Source organism: Homo sapiens, chromosome 6 (genome assembly GCF_000001405.40).
Source record: "Homo sapiens chromosome 6, GRCh38.p14 Primary Assembly".
In the NCBI taxonomy this organism is placed as follows: domain Eukaryota; kingdom Metazoa; phylum Chordata; class Mammalia; order Primates; family Hominidae; genus Homo; species Homo sapiens.
In genome coordinates this window covers 113,658,950-113,677,810 of record NC_000006.12, presented here as the reverse complement: position 1 = coordinate 113,677,810, position 18,861 = coordinate 113,658,950, and the positions used below count along the sequence as shown (strand labels likewise).

General features: G+C 40.3%; 1 long non-coding RNA gene across 1 annotated transcript, besides 2 other annotated features; it reads right to left on the bottom strand.

The window, feature by feature from the left end:
- Positions 1-480: 480 nt before the first annotated feature.
- On the bottom strand, positions 481-13,734 carry LOC124901381 (uncharacterized). Its single transcript, XR_007059715.1, has 2 exons — positions 13,540-13,734; positions 481-757 (listed from the first exon to the last, which is right to left on the bottom strand). It is a non-coding gene; the product is annotated as an uncharacterized LOC124901381 (long non-coding RNA).
- Positions 9,127-9,176: an enhancer, noted in NCBI's record as "active region_24969". NCBI's record gives its function as "activates an Ori minimal core promoter by ATAC-STARR-seq in GM12878 lymphoblastoid cells {active_cell/tissue: GM12878}" and the evidence as "EXISTENCE:reporter gene assay evidence [ECO:0000049][PMID:35858748]".
- Positions 18,168-18,376: a silencer, noted in NCBI's record as "fragment chr6:113980637-113980845 (GRCh37/hg19 assembly coordinates)". NCBI's record gives its function as "represses an EF-1alpha promoter that drives an FKBP-Casp9 reporter gene in an ReSE screen in HepG2 liver carcinoma cells {active_cell/tissue: HepG2}" and the evidence as "EXISTENCE:reporter gene assay evidence [ECO:0000049][PMID:32094911]".

Below are 18,861 nucleotides of genomic sequence, written 5' to 3'. Positions count from 1 at the left end.
GCACATGCACGTGTGTGAACTATATGGTATTTCAGGGAAATTGTTCCCCAGGGAAGTATTAGTTCCCTCCTGGGCTGAAAAGTCTGTTGTCAAGCTGTTTCTTAGACAGTAGCATGAGAAACCAGACAAACTCTATTTAAGCAGTTGTTTTCTCCTGATCTCAGGTTAGCTATAGAAAAGTTCTTCTGCAACTATTTTTGAATTACCAGGACAAGAATTCCAGGCATATCCAGGCCATCCTTAAAAGCCTAATTCTACTTTATAGTTATGATATTTGCCTATGAGACTAAGCATGACCTTACTTAACTATTAATTCTATCAGAAAGGAGTCTAGTGTCCACGATGATTATTTTCAAGTGGATTACTTTAGAAATTGGGTTTTTATGGATTTTTAGCAGGAAATATACAACCTTTTGTCTGAACCACAAATTATAGCTCTGTATTAATTATCTACTACTATAACAAATCACCCCCAAAACCTTAGAGGTTAAAGCAATAAACATTTATTATTTCAATGGTCTGTGTTGGGAATCCAGGAGTAGCTTCTCTGGGTGATTTTGGCTCCAGGACTCTCACAGCCTGCGACTGAGGTCCTGGCCAGGGCTGCAGTCATCTCAAGCCTCAGCTGGTTAGAGGATCTCCTTTCAAGTTAATTTCTGTAGCTGTTGAGAGGCTTTAGGAGATCTGCTTCCAAGTTCACTGGCATGAGTCTCTCAACAGGGAGGCCTTAAGAAGCACAACTGGCTTCCCCCAGATCCTAGAGAGAGCAAGGGAGAGCCCTGAGACAGAAGCAGCAGACATTCTACAACCTGCTCAGAGAAGTGGCACCCCATTAATTCTACCATATTCTAGAAGCAAGTTTCTAGGTCCAGCCTACACTGAAGGGGATGGACTGCCCAAGGGGTGAATACCAGGAGAGACCAGGGGAGACCATCTTAGGGTCTGCCTACCACAAGCCCCTTATGGAAACCTTCCTGTCTGTAGATATTCTTGTTCACCAAATACAGGTATTTAGGTTCATTCCATTAAATAGTTGATGAGGGCTGGGCACGGTGGCTCAAGCCTGTAATCCCAGCAGTTTGGGAAGCTGACGGGGGTGTATCATTTGAGGCCAGGGGTTTGAGACCAGCCTGGCCAACATGACGAAACCCTGTTTCTACTAAAAATACAAAAAAAATTAGCCAGGTGTGGTGGCATATGCTTGTAATCCTTGCTACTCGGGAGGTTGAGGCATGAGAATCTTTTGAACCCAAGAGCAGAGCCTGCAGTGAGCCAAGATTGTGCCACTGTACTCCAGCCTGGGCAACAAAGCAAGACCCTATCTCGAAAAAAAAAAGTTGGTGAGACTGAAAAAATGCTCTTAGTAATGTAAAGCAGAGCTAACTTGTATTGTTACTAAGCAGACAAAAGTAAACAATGGGAGGTGTGTGTGAGAGACCCAAATTCTGAGAAATTTGCTTTTGAGAACATAAAGATAACAGAGCCAGTTCAATTAAATCAACACTTTTTGATACCTACCGTCTTAGTTCGTTTGGACTGTGATAACAAAATACCTTACACTGTGTAATGTATAAACAATGGAAACTTATTGCTCACAGGCTGGAGGCTGGGAAGTCAAGTATCGGGGTGCCAGCAGATTTCATGTCTGGTGAGGACCCGTTCTTCACAGACAGTGCCTTCCCTGGGTTTTTAAATGGCAAAAAGGGCAAACAAGCTTCCTCAGGCCTCTTTTCTAAGGCAATTTACCCATTCATGAGGGTGAAGCCCTCAGGACCTTTTCACTTCCCAAAAGGCTCCTCCTCTTACATGGAGGATTACATTTTAACATATGAATTTTGAGGAGCACAAACATTCAGACCACACTACAGCTAATTCTATGTGTACTGCAGGCTCTGCCCTATCTGAAGTCTTCTGATCTCCCCTCACAAAAAATGTGCATTGTCTTATTAGGAAAGCAAGGCATATAGGAAATGAAATAATAGTATAAACCTTTACATTAATATAAAGCACTCTTGATAGTATGAAGGCATAGTGCTCTAGAATGTAGCCAGCAAACTTTTACTGATTTTTTTTTTTTTGAGACGCAGTCTCGCTGTTGTTGGCCCGGGCTGGAGTGCAATGGCGTGATGTCGGCTCATTGAAACCTCTGCCTCCCAGGTTCCAGCAATTCTCCTGCCTCAGCATCCTGAGTTGCTGAGGTTACCCGCCACCACACCTGGCTAATTTTTATATTTTTAGTAGAGATGGGATTTCACCATGTTGGCCAGGCTGGTCTTGAACTCCTGACCTCAGGTGATCCACCCTCCTGGGCCTCCCAAAGTGCTGGGATTACAGGCATGAGCGCCCGGCCGTTTTTTTTTTTTTTTAAAGACAGGATCTTGCTCTGTCACCCAGGTTGGGATTCAGTGGTGTGACCACAGCTCACTGCAGCCTTGGCCTCCTGGGCTCAAGTGCTCTTCTCACCTTAGCCTCCCGAGTAGCTAGTACCACATGTGTATACCACCACATGTGTATACCACCATGCCAGGCCAGTTTTTTTTTTTTTTTTTTTTAAGAGATGGGGTCTCACTCCGTTGCCCAAGTTGGTCTTGAACTCCTGGGCTCAAGTGATCCTCCTGCCTCAGCCTCCCAAAGTGCTGGGATTACAGGCATGAGCCACGATGACCAGCCAAACATTTCCTGTAAAAGTGGAAGCCACATAGGATATACTTTTGGTTGTGTGGCCACACATGTTCTCTGTTACATATTATTCAATTTTTTATTCTTGTACAACTTTTTGAAAGTGTAAAAACCATGACAGTGCATGGCCTAGTACTCTTCTGCAGACTACTCTTTAGGTAGCGCAGCTCTAGGAAGTCAGATAGACCCTGAGAAATAGCCATGTGTTGTCTTACAGAGAAGCTCAGACTGAGATGGCATGTGGGTGTGAGCACATGCACACACTTGTGTGTGAAACTGATGTTCTGGAGTCAAGTGCTTATTTAGGGAGTTATTGAAATAAGGTGAGTTAGGTTAAACAGTGAACTCTTTTCAATAAAAAGAGAGGCGCTTGGGTTGGGTGTGGTGGCTCATACCCATAATACTAGCCCTTTGGGAGGCCAAGGCAGGAAGATCTCTTTAGCCCAGGAGTTTGAGACCAGCCTGGGCAATACAATGAGACCCCATCTCAATAACAATTGAAGAAATTGAATTTCTGTTTTTAAAAAGAGAGAGGGGCTGACCTTAAATCTGTAGGCAGTGAGGGGTCACTGTATGTTTTCGAGCAAGGTAGTTATCAATAAGATGAAAACACTGTTGTTTTAGGAATATTAATCAGAGGCAATGCATAGGGTTTCTAGGTTGATTGGTGTCGCATTCTTGGGCATTGGGTGGGTGGATAGTGAGCGAGGACACTGGAAATGTAAAGGGTGGCCATATCATGAAGCTAAGGAGTTATAAAAAGGTTTTTTAAAGTAGAGCCTATCTTGACCCATTAAGATCAATGAAAAGGATTTTAATCCAGGCATAGTGCAATAATGAGGACTTGGACTGGGCTGGCAGCCAGGGCTCTATTCGTGTTGTTTAGTCAGGTCTCGCTTAATAAATAATTAAATGGCTCCAAGTGGTGATAAATGAATACTTCAGACCTGGAGATAGTTGAGTGTCTTGTCTTAGACTGGCTTGCATCTGAGTAATAATGCATATCTGTAAGTTGCATATTATATACATGATAGTGTTTAGGGCTGATAATCTTTATATATCGGCCCCAAAGATATAAAATATTTTTTATATCTTCTGATATTCAAAAGGGCCCCCTGGACAATCCTCTTTTGGTGCTTAGATCTATTATGCAAATGCTATTTTATAACTAGATTTTATCCCTTTGATTAACAGACTGCCTCTTAGACTAGTTAGAATCTATAGGCCTCAAGATATGAACTAGATGATGTAATTTAGTTATGATCCAGAAATTCAAATTTATTTGAAAATGTTTGAAATACAAGATTATGATTGACTTGTGTAATGTAATTTGGAAAAAATGCTCCATAACTTGTGTTTGGAAAACCAGCTCCTTACTCTTCTAATAACCATTACCGAAGTTTCTCGGAGTTCTCTTTTCCAGTCTGTGTGGTACCTAATACACTGGAGCCCACTGGCAACAATGCTCAGACATGGCCTTCCCAGCTCCTCCAGGGGCCCCTCCTTCCACTAGGTTCTCCATCCATCTTTCCTGGATTCATGGGAGCTGTCATTTCCTACTCTTTGCTGGAAAGGGAACAGTCCACTCTCTTTCTCTTCGTCTGAGTTTAAGAGTGCCTGGGCTGGTGCATTAAAGCCAGCTTTTTCTGTGCACACCTGCTGAGTTTTTGCACTCAGCATGACAGCCAATTTGTTTAGAACAGTAGTTCTCAAAGTGTGGTCTCCAGACCAGTAGCATCAACATTACCTGAGGACTTGCGAGTGAGGCAAATTCCGGGGCCCCATACCAGATCAACCAAATCAGAAGCTGTGGGGGTGGGGCTCAGCTATCTGTGTTTTAACAAGCTTTCCTGATGATTTTTATGCCTGCTAGTTTGATCATCACTGAGCTAGAGGAAATCTTCCTTCTGAGTGTTTGAACCTGAGATTTAGTCTTAAACCAGATCTCTGCATTTGTTGTAGCAAGAAAGAAAGCAATGCAATCATAAAGGAGTCAGTTACAAGCAATGTCTAAGAGAGATTGAAAGGATGATTGGGTATAATAATGAGGGAATCTGCTCACTGGGAATTCCTACTCAAAGCTGTTTGGGGATACTTCCAAAATAAGCTTTTGCATGCCATACGGGAATATTTTGCACATTGGAAAAGAATGCGCATCTGATAAGCAATAATGTGTTTACTTATCAACAAACGCAATCTGTGGCTCCCAAGGTGCATGCAGCCAGCTGTAGCTGGTCAGCCTTGCCTGTCTAGGGACACCAAGAGGAGGGGTGCCTGTATCTGGATGGGCTGGCCTGGCAGGAAGCCCTGGGCACACTAGTGGACCCATGTTTGTTTCGGTTTGCTGATGGCACTCCTCCTTCTTCCTATGTCGTAATGCTTTTGAGAATAGGCTGTTTAAAATGAGATATTGGCCAAATCCAAATGCAGGGAGAAAAAAATATCTTGCCTCTTTCTCCAAAAAAACGTTATTGAGGCAGATTTTCCCAGGATTTAAGCTGTTCTTTGGCTGCAAATGTACCTTTGGAAGACGCACAGTGGGGTCTCCAGGCACAGAAAGTAAACCAGCTGGGTGTGCTCCACACAACAGACAGATTTCCACCGCTTGAAAAATCATACTTTTGTAAATCAAATTGCATTTTAAATTCAGCAGAGAAATTGCCATCTAAAAGGAATTACCCGGCAGATCTTTTGCCAAGAATGTAATTATTTCATTTTTTATTTCTTCAAAAAAAAAAAAAGATTTCCATGTGCAATAAAATTCAGTTAAGTAGAATTTTCAAGGAATTGGGGGATTCTTGTTATTTATCTTACTATCTCCCTCCCTCCCTCCCTCCCTCCTTCCCTCCCTGCCTCCCTCCCTTCCTTTCTTTCTTCTTTCCTCCCTTCCTTCCTTTTTCTTTCCTTCCTTTTCTTTCTCTCTTGACAAAGGCTTAGCTGAAAACCAATCCTGTTCCCAATGCATAAAATTGATTTTTAAAAGCAGTGGGCAGTGGAAATAATCACATTGTTCTTGATGATTACAGATTTTGCAGCACATTTATATCAGCTGGATAATGATAAACAGAGATTAGGTTGAATTTGTGCTGAAGCTAAAAGGAGACATTGAAAATGTATAATTACTGAAATATTAAATTAAACTCCTAATTTTAGTTCTTTTCACTTAGCATTTTACTTAAAAACTCAGCAGAGAAGAATATTGCTTTACTTAGAAACTTTTGCTGTTGGGTCCTGCAAAGTTTAACTCAACGGGTTTACCTGATGAGAGTATATCTGTATTTAGAAACACTAATAAATAGGAAGTGAACTGAGTTAAAACATCTGTAGGTTTAACATGCAATCATATTCTCACTACAAAAGCAAACATACAAACAAACAAACAAACAAACAAACAAAAAACAGCTCTTTAAGCCAGATTGCCTTTTCTTTAACATTTTATGTTGTTTAGATAAAAGGAGAAGTGGCTCACAAGCAGGCTCTGTTCAAACATGTGACTCAGGGCAGCCCTCCGTTGATGGATGGGATGGGAAGGAAAGACAAGTTCAGAGCTTAGTTCACTTACTTACACTGGGATCAGTTTAAATTCAGCAAAGTTTATTATACACTTACTGTAACTATGAATCCCTAACTGATGGTGCCACTGAGTATACAAAAATAAACAAGAGACAACCTGAGCCTTCAAAGAGCTCACAGTGTAAGGTGGGAAAACTCCTCTGAGATACTTGGGTGGGGTAGACATGTGTGGAGTCCAACCAAGACAGAGTTAGTTCAGGAATCCTCAAAGCTGTGTAGGTGGTAGAGGGTGTTGTTGATGCTACTGAGGAACACTATGAGATGCTAATATATTTTATTTCACCACAAAAAGTAGACTTGATCTTACAAACAGAAAGTAGGACTGCTTAAATATATATTGTACTGTAAAATTACAACTGTGAACACCCAGGCCAAAAAATAACTCCTCGCTGTTGAGCTAAACAGGATCAACTGTTTCTCCATTTTTCTGCTAATGTTAATATACCACTAGTTAATTCATTTTGTCATCTGCTAGCACGTGTCACCAGACAAGCAGTAACAGGTGCCAAAAGTGTAAGGAAAATGAAGACTTGAGAAAATTCTATTCATTAATTTAATTTAAAAATGTGATTTGGGAAATGATGTTTCCACAATTTCTATAGCAGGTTAGTGACCCCAAGAGTTCTGTTGGAAGGGTGTGGGAGCATCTGGGGTGGAGAGAGAGCAAGCACTGATGTCCAGAAGGACTTATTGCCATTCCAGTCAAAGCTGGAAGCCCCTCCAGCAAACCCCCACTCTGCTCTTTGGGGTGGGGCAGGGATAGAAGTTCCTACATGGTAGAGACTGCACCTGCTTAGCTTTATACCTGCCCTTGGCATTATTAATATTGCTTTAGAAAGTAGCTGCTTGGTGGCCAGGCATGGTGGCTCACACCTGTAATCCTGGCACTTTGGGAGGCCAAGGCAGGTGGATCACTTGAGGCCAGGAGTTTGAGACCAGTCTGGCCAACATGGCGAAACCCTCTCTCTACTGAAAATATAAAAATCAGCCAGGCCTGGTGGTGCATGCTTGTAGTCCCAGCTACTCAGGAGGCTGAGGCAGGAGAATCGCTTCAGCCTGGGAGGCAGAAGCTACAGTGAGCCGAGATCGCGCCACTGCACTCCTGCCTGGGGGACAGAGCAAGACTCCATCTCAGAAAAAAAAAAAAAGAGAAAAAAAAAAGAAAATAGCTGCTCAAGCCAGAAGCTACAGTTGGGAACAGATTTCTCTCTAAAAACAATGTTATAATGACTATTAGGCTTAAATGAGGTAGTGTTAAAATAATAACTAAAAAAGATAAGAATGGGTTAAATAGGTTTGTGGGTTTATCTTGGAAGTTCTCCCCCTATTTATGACATTATTTATATGGAGTAGTGCTTTCTTACTTTTACGAATTCAATTAGCAAATATTTCTCACCAGAGCACTTTCTAGACACTGTGGGTTTCAGTTTTCTCTTCTGCTAAATGGGGATAAAAAGTGTTCTTAATTCAATAGAGTTGTTATGAAGATTAAATGATTTATAATACATCAACTGCTTTGATGGGTGCCTGACATACAGAAAGGGCTTAATAAATATTAGCTGGTCATTCTGAGTATTATTGTACACCAATATGACAGACACAAACACAAACACAAACAACTTTCTAGAACAGAATATGCTGGTAGCCTGGACCGTGTTGAGTTTCTTGGTGTTCTGGTCTTTAAGGGAGCAGCTGCTATCCTGCAGTTGGGGCTGGAGTACATGATGAGCAGTTGTTATTTGTCAGTGTAGTTTGTCTGGTAAGCAGAGCCTTTTCCACTTTTTCCGAGGCTGGAAGACAACAGCAGAGCAGGGAAGTGGTAGAGACCCCTGGCTGCTTCTGGAAACTCTCACCAGTGGTCTTGCCTCCTGGGAATTTGCAACCCCAGCCCCCTGCATGTTTACTTTAGGAGCTAGGGAAGGGCTGCAGGCCAAAGATGTGAGGGCTCCTGGCCTGTGCACCTATTTTCAGGGGCTCCTAGCTTTGTGAACAGGTGGGTCTTTTACGTCCTGGGCAAACCTAGCAAAGGCAAAGACTGACAATTTGATATAAAGACTTTCTGGCCTAATCCAGAGGAAGCAGGGAAGAGGAAACTTTTGACTTCTTTCCTTTTCAAAAATATGTCAAAGTCTTGCAGTTAGCTTCTTCATTTATGAAGTTCCAGAATTGTTAGATATCCGAAAGTAAACACACCAGCTTCTGAAGCTGCCAAAAATTGGGATGAAATTTTTACATGCTTCCTGCTACTAAGCCCTGCATTGCTCAAATTAGTCCCAAGTGGATTGAGGGGTGAAAGAACTACACTTTCATGCTGTTGAAAATTTTGGTAAAATAAAGCTTATTAATGCCTAAGTAAACAGTGAGGTACACAGCTCTGAAATGTTTATGACAACTGTGACCAGGGTAAATAGAAACTGTCCTTTGTACAAAACAATGGGGGACTGTCTTCTACAACTGATATTTGCTCCACCAGTTGGAGGCCACTTTTACCTTATTTGTCATATGAAAGACAAATATGAAAATAATGAAATGAGCCCCTCACCTTTCAGGGGCCCTGTGTTCACTTTGGATGGGGTTTCCCTATATGCCCACTGTTTGTCTTACCTCATGGTAGAATGATTTGTATTCATTCAACATATATATATATACCTCTATATATTTTCACTTTTCTTTAGTTTACTTTACCCATAAGAACTGGCAAAGAGAAAGTGTAGGGGAAAAAAGAGTATTTAACTTAACTGCTGAGATCATGCTTTCTGTATTAGTTCTGTCTCAGTGTCAAACATCTCAAAAGACTATAGGATGAAAATAGAGAACTTCTCTATTTTCTCAGTGGTAGCAGAGTATTCATAGGGTTCTGGAGCAAGAATCTCAGTAGAAAAAGAAGGAGGCACATGGGGCACACTCCAGTGGAATCTTACTTCCACTGGCTAGATTGTGTTTAGCAAGAACAGGTCAGCTGTCATGGTAAAGTGACTATTGGGTATATTTGGGTCATCATAAAGTGACTATTGGGTATAAAGTGACTATTGGGTATATATATATTGGTATATACCCAATATATAAATATTGGGTATATTTGGGAAGTGCTTGAACTCTGTGAGATACTCAATTGAGCAGATTAAGGAAGAAGTCCAATTACCTCTACTCAAGATTGATGACCTTCATTCATTGAAGAAAAGTTTACCTGCCTTGAGTTGAAATGATTGAGAATGAGAGTGAGAGGCTGTATTGTGCCATGGATTCACTGTGCATTTGGGATCTGTCCCATTCTAATCCTAGCTGTGCAACACTGGGCAAGTTTCTTAACCTTTCTGACCGTATTTTCCTCACTGTACAATGAGGAAATATATATATATATGCTGATACCTATATAAGTGATACATATATAAGCTGCTTGTAAAATAAAATGATAAACATGTAAAGGCCTCACATCAGTGCCTAGAACATTTCAAATACTCAATAACTGTCGGTCATATTCTTCATAGTTTTACTGATATTTCAAAAATAAGAACAAACATGAAACAGCAATTTTTTTTTTCTTTTTTTTTTTGAGACAAAGTTTCGCTCTTGTAGCCCAGGCTGGAGTGCAATGGCACGATCTCGGCTCACTGCAACCTTCGCCTTCCTGGTTCAAGCGATTCTCCTGCCTCAGCCTCCCGAGTAGCTGGGATTACAGGGGTGCACCACCACGCCCGGCTAATTTTGAACTTTTAGTAGAGATGGGGTTTCTTCATGTTGGCCAGGCTGGTCTCAAACTCCCAACCTCAGGTGATCCGCCCACCTTGGCCTCCCAAAGTGCTGGGATTACAGGCGTGAGCCATCATGCCCAGTGAAACAGCAATTTTAACAACAGGGAAGGAAGGAAATAAGTACATTTTTCTCTATTAAGATGTAAAATTAAGATGACTAATAACATCGTACATGGAAATCATTTAAGATTTTGATTGGTATCTTTTAAGGAAAATGCCTGTTACTTTTACTTTCTTAAAATACAGTTTCATACATCAAAGTCGTTTTATTTTCAGGAGTCTAAGGAGATGAGGAAATTAGAAAGGAAATAGCATATGAGCGTGACTGTATTATAAAACAAGTAGCAATCATGAATGTGGGAATGCATTTACCTTCTTAGTTTTTGTGGATATATGAAGATTTTATGAATACAAAATAGAAAACTCAATAACCCTACTGTTTAATTCTTTGACATAAAGAAAGATATTGTTATAATTAAGCTATAATTTTCAATGATGTTATATTCCTTTTTAAATGTTAAAGCTAGATGGCTAATTATGTTATAATATTTATTTTTTAACTCTAGCATTGGCAAAGTGCTTTTAAGATATTTTGAAGCACTTTTATGAGCCCCAGAATAATTGATCCCCAGAATAATTTTGTAAGGTAGTCAGAGCAGGTATAGTACTATTTTTTACATTCTACAAGTGGCAAACAAGCAAATGAGGTTGAATGACACAGAAGGTGGGGGTTGGATTGACATTCAATAATCCTTATGTTCAGAACTTAAATTTCTTTGGTTATTTGCAGTTTAAATCAGATAGTTTAGATTGATCCACCCAGCAATCTTTCAGGGGAGGCAATCATTTTTTAAATCTCCATTTTACTCTTTAATCTCAATCAGTGGCTCTTCCCACTACTAAATCATAGTGCTTCAGTATCAGTGTTATGTATACATTATATTTTTTTTAAAAATGATGTCTTAATCTTCAATTTGATTATGTGGCAACTGTATTCTTTCTTTCTTTCCTTTCTTTCTTTCTTCCTTCCTTCCTTCCTTCCTTCCTTCCTTCCTTCCTTTCTTTCTTTCTTTTTCTTTCTTTCTTTCTTTCTTTCCTTTCTTTCTTTCCTTTCTTTCCTTTCTTTCTTTCTTTCTTTCTTTCTTTCTTTCTTTCTTTCTTTCTTTCTTTCTTCTTTCTTTCTCCTCCCTCCCTCCCTCCCTCCCTTCCTTCCTTCCTTCCGTCCTTCCCTCCTTCCTCCCTTCCTTCCTTCCTCCCTTCCTTCCTTCCTTCTTTCTCTCTCTCTCTCTTCTTTCTTTCTTTCTTCTTTTTTTTTTTTTTTTTTTGACATAGTCTTGCTCTGTTGCCCAGGCTCGACTGCAGTGGCGTGATCTCAGCTCACTGCATCCTTTGCCTCCCAGGTTCGAGTGATTCTTGTCCCTCAGCTTCCCAAGTAGCTGGGATTACAGGCGCCCACCACCACACCCAGCTAAATTTTGTATTTTTGGTAGAGATGGGGTTTCACCATGTTGGCCAGGCTGGTCTTGAACTCTTGACCTCAAGCTATCCACCTGCCTCAGCCTCCCAAGTGCTGGGATTACAGGCATGAGCCACCATGCCCGGCCAACTGTATACCATTTCTAATAAATACTTCATACTGTCAAATTGAAGCCAGACCCCAAAAGTGTCAAATTTACTGACTAGTTGAGTAGATACTATAAACTTCAAACCAACATTTGAGTGAAAACTGAAAATTTCAGTCATCCAGATATTTGTAAACACTAGGTGGTAGAAATATATTTACTTTAATTTTTATCTAAACATATACTTTTATGTACATGTGACATGAGTGACAACAGTCTGGGAAATGTTTCTGAGTGCCCTATTGTGAGTCCGTTGGTTTTGGATGTTTTCCTATGCTTAAGTTCCTTTTGAGGGAGCTTTCCTTTACTCTTCAGAGTCTGGCCATGCTTGGGACCTGCTGTAAGACATATCTGTCTGCTGGCCCCTAGTGGGGTCCCAGCTGGCATGACTTTCACAAGTTCCTAGAGAGAACCCATCCACAGGATGTGGGGAAAACTGTGGTGGGAGAAAAAGTCCAAAATCAAGGCAGCAGCTTTCTTGCCCTAGGCAGACTGAAGATAAGCCCTTTAAAAAATATTCTTGTGGCTGGGCACGGTGGCTCACGCCTGTAATCCCAGCACTTTGGAAGGCCAAGGTGGGCGGATCACGATGTCAGGAGTTCGAGACCAGCCTGACCAACATGGTGAAACCCCATCTCTACTAAAAATACAAAAATTAGCTGGGCATGGTGGCATGCGCCTGTAGTCCCAGCTACTTGGTAGTCTGAGACAGGAGAATCGCTTGAACCTGGTAGGCGGAGGTTGCAGTGAGCTGAGATTGCGCCATTGTACTCCAGCCTGGGCGACAGAGCGAGACTTCATCTCAAAAAAAAAAAAAAAAAAAAAAAAATTCTTGTAAGTTTGTCAATCAGAAATAAAGGGTAATCACCTGTTATATTTATACTACTTCAGAAATGCTCTTCTCCCTTCTTACCCCCACCTGGCCTAAATCTGTTGAGTTACTTAAGTGATGGAAATTAAATATTGTGGAAACTGGAATAAACATTTAAAAGAGTTTGGGAGACCTTACAGCCTCCTTGACTCAAGGTAAATATGAAAACAGTCAGCTCTTCAGCCTTTGGTGACATCTGGCTTTTATGAACACCTGTAACTTTATAGCCTGTGACAATTACTTTGAGTTTGGTTACCTTGTATTGTGTCATTTCTGCGCTTATATTTTTTATGCACACAACTTACTTTCTGAATTATGTTGAGGAATAGGACACATTTTATAGTTGTCTATCTTTTTGGTTCTTACATATTTACCCTGGCAATTATGCGGAGGAGATACTCAACTCCATAGTTATTGCTGATAATAATTGCAGATTCCCTCTTGGAGGTCCTAATACTTACCATCCCACAGGCTGGGAATGAGGGTGGCATATCACATTTCTAAAAAGACTGTATGATTTTTGTACATTGATACAGGAGTGTATAAACATGGTTGAGTTGAAAAACAGGAGTCAGAAATTATTTTTAAAAATCAATTCAAGTTAAATATCAAAGAGTTATATTATTCCCCAGCTGGAGAGATCCAGTGAGATTCATCAGTAACATACATCCCAAACTGAGTTCAATCATGAAAGATAGTTGGATTTTTTTTTCTTTGTTGTTAGTTCACTATATTTTGGCCAGATACTTAGAATAAGAAACTTTTTTGGGAATTAAGATAAATTGCATAGCTGCAGTATTTTTTCATTTGGAAAGAAAGATGGAGAGTTCTATTACTCAAAAGACCAAGAAGCACTGAGGCCAAGAGATCCACACAAACTTCACTCAGTAGCCTAAGTAAATAGTATCTTACTTATTTCTCAAAACAAGCCATACTTGTTTTGTATATAATCACACACACTTACCATGCTTGTATGATAATCACACATAGGAAGTTGCTTTAGCTACCAGCACTAAATACAGTACTTTTAACAGCTTTTTACCTCCATTTCTCTTGTGTCCCTCTTCAAATTCTGGATTTACTTCCATCTTTACGGGAGGGGCATCTTGACTTTTGTCAGCTAAAAGTTCACTGAAAGCAGCCATTCTGGGAAGCAGCAAGGGAGAAGGTCCTACAGAAAGTGGAGATTCTCCCTGCACGGGTTAAGCTTTGAATCCAGCTGCAACATTTCTTCTCTTTTTCCTTGCTCAGGCAAAGAGGGGGATTTGGCTGCACTAAATCTTTTGTGTGTGTGTGTGTGTGTGTGTGTGTGTGTGTGTGTGTGTAGCGTATGAAATCACCAAGATAGCAGCACAGACAGTTCCAGGGATTTTTCTTTTTTTTTAAGAGACAGGGTCTTTCTCTGTTGCCCAGGCTGAGTGCAGAGGTGTGATCATGGCTCACTGCAGCCTCAGCTTCCTGAGCTCAAGAGATTTTCTTGCTTCAGCTTCCCAAGTAACTGGGACTGCAGGCACATACCACCACACCCAGCTTATTTTATAAAATTGTTTTTGTAGAGATAGGGTCTGGCTATGTTGCATGAGCTGGTCTCGAACTCATGGCCTTAAGAGATCTTCCTACCTTGGCCTCCCAAAATGCTGGGATTGCAGGTGTGAGGCACTGTGCGTGGCTAGTTCCAGGGATTTTTAAAGACTATAGCAATCAAGTGGCCAATGGACTTAATTACTATATTTGGATAATATGGGCCAACTTTCTCTTGAACTGTATAGATAGTATATATATATATTTTTGAACAATTGTCTTATTTTGCCAAGGCAGCTTGTCTACACAACGCATACAATCTTAGCAAACCTAAGGAATGCTACATATCAGAATACTACCTGTTTCCCCGTTATGTTCATAATGGCATTTAGGGATAGTTATATGGATTTTGAATGTTGAGATATGTTTGCATACTCTACATACCCTGAAAACAACTTCACTACATGTATAAACACACTGTGTTTTGAAGGACATTGGAATTTCTGCCTTTCCCAAAATATCTCTGCTAAACCTCCCATCACCTTGGGTGGAAATCCCTTTCATTAGTGATGAGTCTAATTCCTCAGATACCAATTTGCTGAGAGCACTGCTGTATAATTTAAATGGTCTCAGACTCACTTCCTCATTTGTAAATTAAGGGGGTTGTATAGACTCTACTTTCTCTGGTCTGATTTTCTGTGGTGCCGTCCCTCCCTTCTCTCTCCCAACTAGAGAAGTTTTGTGTTTAGTGTTTTCCTGTATTCAACTTGCAAAGTGTTACAGATAATTGTAATTACACTGCAATCAAAATGTCAACTTCTAATCTTAGGAAAACAGATTCTAATCGACTAGGATTGCTCCTAAGCACTTTCTTATCAAGAAATTTTTCTCTATGCAAATCTCTGATAACCTTTCTCCTGTTGTACACAGAAGTTCTTAGCCTCCACTTGAACTTCTTTTCTTCTTTTAGACCTTTACATCTTCATTACATTCTATGCTTCCACTAGGCAAGCTAAAGTCTACCAAAGTCTAGTTGATAGAGCAATGCAGTTCTTCTCTCAAGACTGCAGAAACTTGGTTGAAAAGTTTGGAAAGCAACAGCAGTATAAATTTACACAAGTGCTCAGCTGATAGTTTTAAAGAAAGCATTGAGGTCTCATTGGAAATAACTGCTGAATTAAGGATGGTACCTGACTTGGGTTTAGCTCAAAATCATCTGTTTCTAAATTGTCACTTCTAAAAGTGACAAGACTAAACTTGGCACTTTTTGCCTGGATTGTATACAGTCACACATTCTAAAAGTGAATCATATCTGCCCCTCACCCAGAGTCACCTTCCCTTAACCCCACAGACTTTATCTTCCCCTCCCTGTCCCTGCCACACCTCCGCCACAAAAAGTGAAGCACAAAGTGGAGAAGTTTTGATGATTTCTTGGACTGTCTCTAATATACATTTCATAATATGTAGTTTCATTCTGATTAATAAAGAAAGTGCACAATTGGGAGGAGGGCTTCTTCTGGAAATTCCAACAGATTATACTAATATTTATAGCCGTTATAAGGAAGGAAGTGGGAGCGGGAGAGGGACAAAGGGAGGAAATGTTCTTTTTTTTTTGGCAATCATCTTCAATTTGGATAGTGATTTGAAGCTTTCTCTCTCCAAAGTCTTTGTCTGGGTGTCCATTTAATTACTTTTCTAAGCTCATGCTTGAACTGATCAGAGCTTTCTCAAGACTTACTTACCTTTCATTGAGCCTGGAACTTGTGGTATTTGTATGAACACCAAGTTCTAAGTAAACCTGAGGCTATTTAAAATTTCAGGTGGAAATTATGTGCTCTTCAAGACTGAACTTGGCACTTTTTGCCTGGATTGTTACAGTCACACATTGCTTGACAGTGATACATTCTGAGAAATGAATCTTCATGTGAGTATCATAGAGTGAACTTACACAAACCTTGATGGTACAGTCTACTACACACGTAGTATATATGGCACAGCCTATTGCTTCTACACTATGAACCCACACAGCATGTTACTGGACTGAATTCTGCAGACAATTGTTACACAATGGTAAGGTTTGTGTATCTAAACATAGAAAAGGTACGGTAAATGTATGGCATAAAGAAAAAAAATGGCCGGGCTTGGTAACTCACACCTGTAATCCCAGCAGTTTGGGAGGCCAAGGTGAGAGGATCGATTGAGGCCAGGAATTCAAGACCAGCCCGGGCAACATAGCAATACCACATCTCTATAAATAAAAAACAAAAAAATATAAATACATTAATTAAAGATTAAAAAATGCTACATTTGTATAGGGCACTTACCTTGAATGAAGCTTGCAGAACTGGAGCAGCTCTGGATGAGTTAGTGAGTGAGTGTAAAAGCCAAGGACATCGTAGCACACTACTACAGATTTTATAAACACTGTACACTTAGACTACATTACATTTACCAAGAGAAGTATTTCTCCAAAACCAAATTACTGTAACTACTTTACTTTAAAAATTTTATTCTTTTTAACTTTTTGACTTCTGTGCCCACAGTGGTGGGCATGAAAGGTAGGCTTTTGCTAAAAAGCTTCCTCTAAAACTGAATATCTCTCTCTTATATAAGTATGTGCCTACCAGCTCAAGATAATATAAGAAAGTAGAAAATATATTACCATACCTTACAAAAGATTAGCCAGGCATGGTGAAAGGCACCTGTAATCTCAGCTACTCAGGAAGCTGAGGCAGGAGAATTGCTTGAACTGAGGAGGTGGAGGTTGCAGTGAGCAAAGGTTGCAGTGAGCAGTGCCATTACACTCCGGCCTGGGCAACAAGAGTGAAATTTAGTCAAAAAAAAAAAAAAAAAAAGAAGGAAGGAAGAAAAGAAAGACAGACAGACAGACGCAGACAGACAGACAGAAAGAAAATATATTACCATACTCAATCTGCTCCAGCTTAAAAAAGAAGTGAGACCTGGGCCAGGCACTGTGACTCATGCCTGTAATCCCAGCACTCTGGGAGGCTGAGGCGGGCGGATCACAAGGTCAGGAGATCGAGACCATCCTGGCTAACACAGTGAAACCCTGTCTCTACTAAAATATACAAAAAATTAGCTGGGCTTGGTGGTGGGTGTCTGTAGTCCCAGCTACTCAGAAGGCTGAGGCAGGAGAATGGTGTGAACCTAGGAGGTGGAACTTGCAGTGAGCTGAGATTGCGCCACTGCACTCCAGCCCTGGTGACAGGGTGAGACTCCATCTCAAAAAAAAAAAAAAAAAAAAAAAAGAAAAAACTGAGACCTGATAAAATTGAGGTCATCGCTGTATGAACTACTGGTAGCCTTTAGCTTGCCTAGTGGAAGCATAGAGTGTAATGAAGATGTAAAGGCCTAAAAGAAGAAAGAACTTTCTATCTAGCAAGGGTTTCTCCTCTGCTTTCCACTAGAAGTGTAGTTGTGCATCTACTTGGTATTTTGCTAATTTGTTTCTCTTTACTATTTCTCCTGAATTTAGAAAACCATTGATAACACCCTGAAGGGTGTATTAACAAATAGGACAGCGAGCTTTACACTAAAAGTCCATGTGTTGACCTCTTTCTACAGAGACTGAGGAAGAGGATAAGCTGGTTTTGGAGCTTATCACCACTTGTGACCTTTGGCTTAGACAGGTGATCTGTTGTGATTTCTAGATATCAGAGAAATAAAATTCAGATCCTTGTGACATTCTCGTTATTATTCTTGATTCCAATGGATGTTTGTAACATTGATTCAGTTGTTTCAGTTCAGCCTGTTACAGATATGTAGTTCATGTGCCCAGACAAACAGCAATAACCTGTATTTTCTGAGGCTGTAGAAATGTTATGTTTGCAGAAAGAAAACACATTCCTCCCAATTTTGTCAGCATGATCAAACACGGAAGATGTGTATCTGCGGAAAATTGTTCTGAGAAAATTGAGAATATCATCTTACCAACACTATTATTAAAAAGATGAGAAGAAGAAACAGAAAATCTTTTCCTAGATTTTTTCAATCTCCTAAAAACATTAGAACTTTAAACTCCCCACAAACGATCATTTTAGCTACACTAATGACTTACAAAGATTACACAACTTTGAACAGTTTCACTCACTGAGACAGTTGACAAAATAAAATGAGCTGGGTGATAGTAAGGTTGCAGTAATTAGCATTTGACTCAGTAGGACTTTGTGGTAAATATATGGTGTGTGTGTGTGTGTGTGTGTGTGTGTGTGTGTGCGTGCGCGTGAGAAAGAGAGAGAGAGGAAGAGAGAGAGGTGACTCTTGGATTCAGACTTGAGCAATTGGCTGGGTGTGATGCCCTGTATTGAGATAAACTCCAGAGTGAACCCATGGGGAAGAAGAGGGGGTGACTTCTGTTTGGGGTCTATATTGAGTTTGGGGTGCTTAGAGATATGGATCTGAAGTCCATAGAAGAGTTTGAGATTAAAGATTTGGGGGATTTTGGAATCCTAGGAATGAGGAAAATAATCCAGAGAAAGTATGTAAAGCAAGAAATGCTAATACTTACTCTCTAAGGGAGAAGGATAGGAAGGGAAACTTGTAAAGGAGACTTCACAGGAACAATCAGAAAGGTGAGTAGTAAACCCGCAGACTGGGGAGCAAGAGAAACCACAAAAAGAGTATTTTAAAGAGTGACCTGCAGTGTCAAATGCTGAAGAAAAAGCCACTGAGAAAATGACTAAAATTACCCAATGCATTTAGTCTTTTATAGACTTTGGTGGTCTTCCTGCAAGAAATTCTGGTAGAATCATGACAGAGAAACCTCTAGACTATGATAGATTCAGGAGGATGACTGGGAAGTGAGGCAACAAAGTAGGTACAG